The 11512-nt window shown below is 41.7% G+C and overlaps 1 annotated feature.

The window, feature by feature from the left end:
• Positions 9972-11171: an enhancer, noted in NCBI's record as "MED14-independent group 3 enhancer chr12:48995486-48996685 (GRCh37/hg19 assembly coordinates)". NCBI's record gives its function as "activates an origin of replication core promoter dependent on BRD2, BRD4, P300/CBP and CDK7 cofactors, and independent of MED14, by STARR-seq in HCT116 cells {active_cell/tissue: HCT116}" and the evidence as "EXISTENCE:reporter gene assay evidence [ECO:0000049][PMID:35650434]".

The raw sequence follows: 11512 nt of genomic DNA on the forward strand, positions 1-11512 counted from the left end.
ACAACACACACTGGGGCCTATTGGAGGGTGAAGGGTGGAGGGTGGAGGGTGGGAGGAGGTAGAGGATCAGAAAAAATAACTAATGATTACTACACTTAATATCTGGGTGGTGAAATAAGCTGTACAACAAACCTCCATGACACAAGTTTACCTATACAACAAACCTGCACACGTAGCCCTGAACTTAAAGGTTAAAAAGAAACCAGGGCCAGGCATGGTGGCATGTACCTGTAATCCCAGCACTTAGGGAGGCCGAGGCAGGCAGATCATCTGAGGTCAGGGGTTCGAGACCAGCCTGGCCGACATAGCGAAACCCTGTCTCCACTAAAAATACAAAAATTAGCCAGGCATTGTGGCTTTCACCTCTAATCCCAGCTACTCAGGAGACTGGGGCAGGAGAATCACTTGAACCTGGGAGACGGAGTTTGAAGTAAGCCAAGATCATGCCGTTGCACTCCAGACTGGGCGACAGAGCAAGACTATGTCTCAAAAAAAAAAAAGAAAAGAAACCAGAATAGTCTTATAAACATTAAATAAATTCAGCTAGTAATTAAAATCCTTCTTCAAAATAAATTCCAGTAAATTCTATTATATCAAATAATTAAGAAATGAATAGTTTTAGTATTATATAAAATATCCAACAAAAAAAGAAAAAGGTTGATTTTCAAACCCTTTTTATGAGATTAGCCTAGCAATGATACCATGATCTCAGGACATTTCAAAGGCTATAAGAAAAAATGGAAACCACAGGTCAATCTCATTAGTGAACATTATTACAAAAGTCCTAAATTAAAAACTAACAAACCAAATCCATCAATAAATGAAAAGAGTAACATGTAATGACACTGTTGGATTTGCTCCAGAAATGCAATCTTTATTTAACATAGTGTGATATTGTGGTAAAATAAGAAATATATATATATTTGGTCTCAGTCTCTTTTTTTATTTTTTGGTCTCAGTCTCCAGTTGCTGGCTCACAGCTCCTAAAATCCTTGGAATCTCTGGAGTTATAAGTGTATCTTTTGTATGCTAACAAGGCATGATTAGAGAGTTGGGACTTTCAACCCCACCCCCCAACCTCCAGGGAGGGGAGAGGAACTGAAGAATGAGTTGATCACCAATGTTTGTACAGAGGCTTCATTAGTAGTCACGAATGATTACATCATAATATACAGTTATGCCTATGTAACAAAGGTAATGAAGCCTCCATAAAACCCAAAAGGAAATATTCAGAGATTCCAGGTTGGTGAACGATGAGGACTAAGTTCTGATTTTTTAATCTTGCCCACATTTCTACCTAAGGAGTCTAGGGAATCATGTCCTACAAACTATAAATTCTCATCAGATGGGTTTTATTTGACCCTATATATTGTGACTTACTTTTCAGTCTGACTCTGGCATAACATTATGAGACAAGGAAAAAATATTTAACCCCAAAATATATTTCCTTGCCATACCTTGAAATTGCCCTGCAAAGTTTCTTGTGGGAAAAATCCACATTCTATAGAGAATCCCCTTTCCCCTTTGTTTTTCTTCCTTCCTTTCCAGATCCAGGAGATAATCAACTAAGAGCCAGGCACCCTTTTAAGTCCCAACATTTTACAACCTGCTCTCTCTGAAGTCCGCTGAGAGCTTCCTCTGTAAAATAAAACTTGGTCTCCACAATTATTTATCTTAACCTGAACATTTCCTTTGATCCCAGGTCTTCAGATAAACTCAACCAATTGTCAATCAGAAAATGTTTAAATTTACCTATAGCCTGGAAGCCCCCTCCACCCTGCCCTCTTTGAGTTGTCCCACTTTTCTGAACTAAAACAATAATTTCTTAAATGTATTTGATTGATGTCTCATGCCTCCCTAAAATATATAAAACCAAGCTGTACCCCGACAACCTTGGGTACATGTTCTCAGGACCCCCTGAGGGCTGTGTCACAGGCCATGGTCACTCATATTCGGCTCAGAATAAATCTCTTAAAATATTTTACAGAGTTTGACTCTTTTCATCAACAACAAGAACACATCCACTTGCTGAGTGAGTGGCACCCCCCAACTCCACTGGACAGAAGCTCCTGCACTTGCGACTCTTCCATGACTCAACCTACGTATCTCCTCATCTGGTTACTCATTTGTATCCTTTAAAATATCCCTTGTAATAAATGGCCAAATGAAAGTAAAATGTTTCCCTGAGTTCTGAGCTGCTCTAGCAAATTAATAAAAAACTAGGAGGGGGTTGTGGGAGCCCCCAATTTATGGCCAGTCATGTAACCACAGGACCATCCAAATGGCCCTACTTTATTGATAACAAAATGTCAAGTTGCCTTGTATGTATAACAGCCAAAACCGTGAATCGTGTAGTCTGGGCATATGGAATAGAAAAGCTTTGACATCTAACAACACTCAGAACCAATGTTTCCTCCCCATGGAACCAAGAACACCAGAGCATTACCAGAACTTGAATACTGGAACCCTTTCAGAAGTGAGGGGTCTGTTGGCCAGGAATATCCAGACCTAAAATCCACCTAAACATACCTTATCATAAATGGTCAAATTTGAAGCCCTGCAATCAGACCCTGCCAAGCCAACATTCCTCATACTTTTCCTTTGCCCTCCAACCACTTAGGACTTTCCCCAGTCCCCAAATCAAGGACACAAATTTGAGCTGCACTTCCTATCTCCTTGCTGGTTGGCCTTCAATAAAGCCTTTCTTTTCTCAAAAGCTGGTGTTATAGCATCGGCTTCTATGCATGTCAGAAAACGAGCCTGTTCACTTAGTAACAGTCAAAAGTATAGATGACAACCTATTACATATGATTAGCATCTGAAGGAGATGGGGAGTCTCATGGGACTGTACCCTCAACCAGTGGGATCATGATGCCACCTCTGGGTAGAGCATGTCAGAATTGAGGTAAGTTAGAGGCTGCGTGCAGTGGCTCATGCCTGTAATCCCAGCACTTTGGGAGGCCAAAGCAGGTAGATCACTTGAGGTCGGGAGTTCAAGACCAGCCTGGCCAGCGTGATGAAACCCTGTCTCTGCTAAAAATACAAAAAATTAGCCAGGTATAGTAGTGCATGCCTGTAGTCCCAGCTACTTGAGAGGCTGAGGCTGGAGAATTGTTTGAACCCAAGAGGTGGAGGCTGCAGCAAGCTGAGATCACACCACTGCACTCCAATCCAGGCAAAAAAGCGAGACTCTGTCTCGAATTTTAAAAAATAAAGAGGGTCTTGCTCTGTTGCCCAGGCTGGAGTGCAGTGGTGCGATCTCAGCTCAGTGCAACCTCCGCTTCCCAGGTTCAAGCAATTGTCCTGCCTCAGCCTCCTTAGTAGCTGGGATTACAGACACATGCCACCATGCCTGGCTAATTTTTGTATTTTTAGTAGAGATGGGGTTTCACCATGTTGGTCAGGTTGGTCTCGAACTCCCAACCTTGTGATCCATCCGCCTTGGCCTCCCAAAGTGCTGGGATTACAGATGTGAGCCACCATGCCCTGCAAAATTCCCAACAGTTTTTTAATGAAATATGACAATATATTTATAAAATTAAACAAATGCATTAGCCAAGAACATCATTGAAGAACAAAGTAAGAATTCTTGCTCTATCAAATATCAAGACTTAATATAAAGAAATAGTAATTAAAACATGTTAATGATGCAAGTATGGACTAATAACAGACCAATGGAATAACATAGGATAAAAAAGAAACAGACCTACATGTATTTAGACCCTTGAGTTATGATTAAAAATGACAACGAAGAACAGTGGGGAAAGAGTAGACTTTTCAATTAATCATTCTGGAAAATACAAAAATCATATGGGAAACAAAAAGATGTAATCCTTACCTCACAACATCCACACAAATCCATTCCAAATAGATTATAGAACTAAACAGAAAGCAAAATATACTGTTTAGATGAGGCTGGGCACAATAGCTCACACCTGTAGTCTCAGCATCTTGGGAGAATGAAGCAGGCAGATCACTTTAGCTCAGGAGTTCGAGACCAGCCCGGACAACATGGCAAAACCCCATGACTACAAAAAATTAAAAAATTAGCCAGGTATAGTGGCACACCCATGTAGTCCCAGGTAGTTGAGAGGCTGTCATGGGAGGATCCCTTGAGCCTGGGAGGTCAAGGCTACAGTGAGCAGAGATTATACCACTGCACGCCAGCCTGAGCAACAGAGCAAGACCCTGTCTCAAAAAAAAAAAAACAAAGATTTTTAAAAATTGGGGTGCTTTGGAAGGCTGAGGAGGGCAGATCACGAGGTCAGGAGATCGAGACCAGCCTGGCCAATATGTTGAAAACCTGTCTGTACTAAAAATACAAAAATTAGCCAGGCATGGTGGTGGGTGCCTGTAGCCCCAGCTACTTGGGAGGATGAGGCAGGAGAATCACTTGAACCTGGAAGGCGGAGGTTGCAGTGAGCCGAGATCATGCCACTGCACTCCAGCCCAGGCAACAGAGTAAGACTCCATCTCAAAAAAAAAAAAAAAATTGACTGGTTGTGGCGGCTCATGCCTGTAATCCCAGCACTTCGGGAGGCCGTGGCAAGCAGATCACGAGGTCAGGAGTTCGAGACCAGTCTTGCCAACATAGTAAAACCCTGTCTCTACTAAAAACACAAAAAATTAGCCAGTGTGGCAGTATGCGCCTATAATCCCAGCTACTAGGGAGGCTGAGGCAAGAGAATCGCGTGAACCTGGGAGGTGAAGGTTGCAGTGAGCCGAGATCACACCACTGCACTCGAGCCTAGGTGACAGAACGAGACTCCATCTCAAAAAAAAAAGGTTAAAATATAGAAAGATATCTTTATTATTTCAGAATAAGCAAAAATTTCTTTAAAACACCACCAAAAGAAAACACTAGCCATAAAGAAAAATAAAAATAAATTAATCACATTAAAATATTAATTTTGTTCTATAAAAGGTACTAAAGAAGAGCAAGCCACAAAGTGAAGAGAGACATTTGTAACACATATAATGACTAAGAATTTGTATACTTGGTATCTAGAATATATAAAGAACTCATGTGAATCCTTACTCAAAGTTCCATAAAAATGGTCAAAAGCTTGAACCAGAACTTCACAAAGAAGAAGTTCAAGTGGCAATAAAAATATGAGAGGGAATTCAACCTCATTAGTAATCAGGGAAATGTAAATTAAAACCTCAATGTGTTACCACTATGCATCCATAAGATCAGCCAAAAATTTTAAAGTCTGACAAAACTAACATAATGAGGACTTTCATAAACTGCTGATAGGAGTGAAACTGGTGCAACCACTTTAGAAAACATTTGGCAAATATGAAGATATGCAAGTCCTAGGACTCAGCAATTCCACTCCCACATATGCACACTAGAGAAACTCATGCATATGCCCCAGGATAATTGTAAAAAAAAAACTGTTCATAGATGCATTGCTGATAATCCCCAAACCTAATAACCTATTAACCCATTAATATTAACAAATGTCCATTAAGACTATAATAGATAAATTTTGGTACAAGTCCTACAATAGAATATAGCACCAAAATGAACAACAGGCAGCTACACAGGTCACTGATGTATCTTAAAAACATAATATTGAATAAAATAACCCAAGCCAAAAAAGAAAGCATACAGAAAGATTCCAGTTAAGATTAAAAGCAAGAAAAACAAATTATATTTTTATGGATGCATAGTTAAGTGGTACCTTGTAAAGAAATGTAAAGAAGTAATGATTATCTCTAGGCATGGAGAGTTGCAATCAAAAAGGGCTTTCTGGAGGTGTGGCTATACTCCATTAAGTGGCCTGAGAATTTGGGGGCCCATGTGGGATTCCCATTCTCCTCTGGGGAAGGGTCTCTGGTCCCTCTCATAAGGAGACACACCCCGCTGCCTTGTTGCAGTGGCCGCTGGGGCTAGGGATTGAGACCCACCTGGTGTGATGAATAAACCTGGACTCTCAGGAACACAGAAGGAAAAGGCCTACAGATACCACGGTGACCAGGTAACTGTGCACAGACCAATGTGAAAAAAGCTGTGGGGGCGGTGAAGTATTTCCTTGGTGGTCAGGATATCCTTGAGGTTGAAAGTGTGTGAATGAGAGGCACAACTGAGTGCGAAGCGAGTCCAGAGTCTGGATCTGTGGTTCCATGCTCTCCTCATATGACTTATGGCGGTTTGCCTGTTGTGGGGTTTGTACTGACCCATCAGTGCTAAGAGGGACCTGAAAATTCCCGTGAGGGAAGTGGCCAGAGAAGGACAAAGCAAAAGCTGAAGAGTGTGAGAAATCTCCAGTGGGGGGGTTGAGTCTCTAGAGAAAGAGTGCAAGAAATCTCCAGTAATGGGAGTTGAGCCTCTAAGGAAAAGGGTGCAAGAAATCTCTAGCAAGAGAGGTTGAGCCCTGCAAACTCACTTGGGTGCAAGAAATCTCTAGTAAGTGAGGTTGAGCCCCACAGATTCAGAAAGACACCTCCTCCAGGATGGGAAATACACCAAGTAAGACAAAAGATAAGAAAGATTGTAAAAATAATGTACCCTCTGATAGTCCCCTAGGCTTAATGTTAGAATATTGGAAGGATAATTAAAGGATCAAACACAAGAAAAATACAGCAAATGATAAAATACTGCTGTTTCATTTGGACCAGGAAAGCTATCCTTAAACACCCAGTTTTCTGGCCAAAATTTGGATCTGATGAAGACTGGTTCTGTCAACTTTTAATAGAATATGTCAATAACAAAAGTTCAGTCTCCCAAGAAGAGATAGACTATGCCTTGTGCTGGTGACAGGGACCTGTCCTTCTCTACCCGAAGATAGACACAAGCCAGAGAATGCTTCCCCTAAGGAAGCTGAAACTCTTACCTGCAAGCAATCTACACCTTGGGACACACTAGACCATCTTCCCCCACCAAATCTCCCTAACTTTCCTCTCCCTCAAGCAGCTGCTACCCCAGACCCTTTCTCTACTCATGTTATTCCTCCCCTTTATAATCCTGAGTGCCATCCCTTCAGAGGACTTCAATGTGAGATAGAGCAGTGCAAAAAGGATATCCAAAATTTCCCTTTCCCCAGTACCTCCAAGGAGTCTGCTCCAACTCTCTTTCCCTTGAGGGAAGTACCCCTCAGAAGAGGAGGCATTGGTTTTGTAAATGCTCCATTAACTAGTTCAGAGATCTGAAACCTGAAAAAAGATCTTAAGCTGCTCTTGGATGACCCCCATGGAGTGGCCAATCAAGCTGATCAGTTTTTAGGACCCCAGTTATATACTTGGGCTGAGTTAATGTCCATCTTAGGTATCTTATTCTCAGGAGAAGAAAGCAGCATGATACACGGGGCCTCTATGACCATTTGGGACCATGAACACCCTCCCAGTCCAAACATCCCAGCAGCTGAACAAAAATTCCCAGCCCAAGATTTTCAATGGGATAACAACAATATAGCCCATTGAGGAAATACAAAAGATCTTAGAGAGATAATAATAAAAGGGATTCGAGAATCAGTACCCCATGCCCAAAATCTTACCAAGGCCTTTAATATACAATAGGGAAAAGATGAAGGACTGATAGAATTCTTAGAAAGGCTCGAGGAGCAAATGAGAAAATACGCTGGCCTAGAATCAGAAGACCCCCTCGGACAGGGAATATTAAGGCTCTACTCTGTCACCAACAACTGGCCAGACATTACAAAGAAATTACAAAAAATAGAAAACTGGAGGCCAGGCATGATTGGTCACTTTAAAAGACAATGTCCCCAATGGGAAAAAGAAGAGAAAGTCATCCCACTTATGGCTTTCAATGAAGACTAGGGAAATCAGGGGCTCTATCTTTTTTATCTCGAGTCCCACAAAGAGCCCTTGATAAATTTAGAGGTGAGACCTAAACCTGAACTTGTTACCTTTTCAATCAATTCAGGAGCAGCTCGCTCCTCAGTTTGTTATATTCCATCCAGTATAACTTGTTCACAAGAACTTTTTATCTCAGGGGTAAGAGGGGAAGGATTTAAAGCAAAAAATTTAGAGGAGACAAAACTTAAATATAAAAACCGATCAGCTAATATTAAATTTCTGTTAATTCCAGAAGCAGGGACAAGCCTATTAGGAAGAGATTTAATGCTAGAGTTGGGCTTACGTCTGCAAGTTAATCATGGAAAATTTATCCCCTCCCTAAACTTACTCACCACCACAGATGAGGAACACATTCACCCAGAAGTATGGTCAAAAGACAGGAATCAAGGAAAGTTACAAATCTCTCTGATTCATGTTAAATTAAAAACCCCTGGGGAAGTAGTAAACAGAAAGCAATACCTATTCCCTTAGAAGCCAGGATAAATTTAAAACCTGTCATTGAAGGTCTTCTCCGTGATGGGCTTCTCGAACCTTGTATGTCCTCCTATAACACTCCAATACTGCCAGTAAAGAAGCCAGAAGGGTCATACTGGTTACCATGAGACCTTCAAGCTATTAATCAGATAGTCCAAATTACACATCCTGTTATTTCCAACCCTTACACTATTATCAGTAGGAAGGCTAAAGCAGGTTTAACCCTCTTATTCTGTATTTCTTTCCTCCCCATCTCTATCACTAGTCCCTTATTATTAATGTAACCAAGTCAAGCTCACCCCTATTACCTTTCACACTTGCCTTGTTATACCCTGTGGAGATTTGTCAAGTCAAAGGCAACTCTCCACCTCAGAAAAGTATCTCTGTCCTTCCTGGCTCCCCTCGGATTGGGCATTTATTAACTGGGATAAGCTAGTTTGGGAAAATTGTGATGAAGATTCCAGTGTGAACTGGGAATCTTGTCCTCCTAGAGCAGAGCTTCTCTGCCGAAGTTGGTCCAATGTTCTATGGAATACTAAAGAGCAAGTAGGGACCACCTCAACTAGTACTTGCAGTTTCCTAAAACCATATATTCATTTTGCTAAAGGAGTTACTCCTCCCAATTGTCAGCTGAACCAATGTAATCCAGTACAGATTACCATCTCTGCTCCCCAGAGTTCTTTCCCTTCATTAAGCCGTTTCTATTGTATAGGAGCAGAAGTCTCAGGGAACGACTCCATAGGATCCTTTGAAATATGCTTCATTGCTTCCCCACCTCCTGCACCCCCTTCTCCCTCTCCTAAATTCTCCTCTAACCAAACCTTTTTTTGTTATATACTCAGTGATAAAACCAAAGTAGTTGTTGTAGGGGTTAAAGATTTAGAACAAACTATAGCAATTGAAACAGGGTATCAAGATGCAAATGCGTGGCTGGAATGGATTAAATATTCTGTTCACATGCTAAACAAAAGCAACTGTTACGCTTGTATGACAGGCAGGCCAGAGACCCAAATTGTCCCCTTTCCACTTGGGTGGTCTTCTCACGGACTGGGCATGAGCTGCATTGTAGCTCTCTTTCAAAACCCCACTGCCTGGGGCGATGAGTCATGCAAGACTCTCTCACTGCTATTCTCAGAAGCCAAAGGCCCTGCAAGTCATCCTCTGAGAACCATCTGGCCTCCCACTTCTGATGTTAATTTCACCTTGTGTCTCGCAAGACAAGGGGAAAATTTAATGTCCCTCAGAAACCTAACTGGGTGCAGTGAAACTAAGCCCTTCCAAGAGCTTACCCATCAGTCTGCCCTGGTTCATCCCCGAACAGACGTATGGTGGTACTGCGGTGGACCACTACTGGGTACTCTGCCCAGTAACTGGAGTGGCACTTTCGCTCTAGTCCAGTTGGCCATCCCTTTCACCCTAGCATCTCGTCAACACAATAAGAGAGATAATCGGAAAAAAAGAAGTGCCCCTCACAGGTCTTTTGACTCACATGTATATATAGATGCTATTGGAGTTCTGCAAGAAGTGCCAGATGAATTTAAAGCCCGAAACCAAATAGCTGCAAGGTTTGAGTCAGCATGGTTCTGGTGGTCAACTATAAATGAAAATGTAAATTAGATAAATTACATCTACTATAATCAGCAGCGATTTGTCAATTATACAAGAGATACCATTAAAGGAATAGCTGAACAATCAGGCTCCACCAGCCAGGTGGCTTGGGAAAATAGGGTAACCCTTGATATGATGTTAGCAGAGAAAGGCGGAGTCTGTGTTATGATCAGAGTTCAACACTGCACTTTTATTCCTAATAACACAGCCCCCAGAGGAACAATAAAAAAAAAGCCCTACAAGGCCTTACCTCCCTATCAAATGAGTTAGCCAAAAATTCTGGAATAAATGACCCCTTTACAAGCCTCATGGAAAAATGGTTTGGGAAATGGAAAGGAATTATGACCTCAATATTCACCTCCCTTGTAATTGTTATAGGCGTGCTCATTCTTGTAGGATGCTGTATCATACCCTGTATTTGCGGTTTAGTGTGAAGACTTATAGAAACAGCTCTCACCAAAACCTCCTTTAGTTCTCCCCCACCCTATTCTGATAAACTCTTCCTTCTAGATACCCAAGAAGAACAACAGAGCCGGGGTATGCTGAGATGTTTTGAAGAGGAAAAGCTATAAAATCAGAGGGGGAAACTGTCAAAAATGATAAATTCCTCTTCAAAAGGCTTTAGTTCCTTGTCCTTTGTTTTTAAGACACATGCTGTAACATGGGTTTCTAGTTACCCATGTTTCTAGTTACCCATGCTGTAAACAACTCTTCCCATCCTTGCCACACCCTGACATGCCCAGACATGCCTCACACCATAATAGATAGCCTCCCTCTTCCCACCTAGTTAGCTGTATTCAATTTCAATCATTAACCAATCAGGTTAGCTTAGATTGTGCTGTTCAACTCCAGCCAATGGGGAAAGAACACAGCAGTAGGGACTGATTGCATTAGGGATAAAAACCCCTGCCCCACCACACTCGGTGTGCTCTTGCAATTGTGACTGGCACAAGCTGCACCCTTCTGCAGAAGTAAATTTGCCTTGCTGAGGAATTTTCTGCCTACATGTTGGTTTTCTTTGCAGCACCAAGCACTTGTTTCTAACAAGGATTTTAACCTCCATGTTAAAGGCCTTCTTAAATTCTTATAAAGACCACATAGAGTGTCAGTTTTACATGTTTTTCTCCTATAACTTTCTTTGATTACACCAGCCCTTTAGAAGGAATATTGGAAATACTCATCCAGTCTTACATGGACAGTGTTGTGAATAATAAAAAGGTATTAACATGAAAGTTCTTACCCAAGTCAACCTTCCCATAATGCCTGTAGAAAGGGAGCACAGTCCAAATGAGGGAAGTAGCCTGGAAATTCCAGGCTAGAGCCATCAGAGGGGTGAATCAGGACCCAAGTTAGAGACGGAGACGGTGGAGACAGCACCTGGAACAAAGGAAAAACTTCTGAAAACACAACTGTAGAGGAAGGTAAGATAAAACTCTCTCTTTCTTACTCTAGTCAAGAAGAAAAGCCTGATCTTTGGAGGTAGATGGGGGTACAGGTGAACACTTGTATTAAGAAGACTCAAACTGTGATGGATATATGTCAGAATTTATGGAAAAGAGATTATCAGGCCACTAGCTGGAAAGCAAGAGAGGCCACCAAAGTATGGGGC

This window comes from Homo sapiens, chromosome 12, assembly GCF_000001405.40.
Source record: "Homo sapiens chromosome 12, GRCh38.p14 Primary Assembly".
Taxonomy (NCBI): Eukaryota; Metazoa; Chordata; class Mammalia; order Primates; family Hominidae; genus Homo; species Homo sapiens.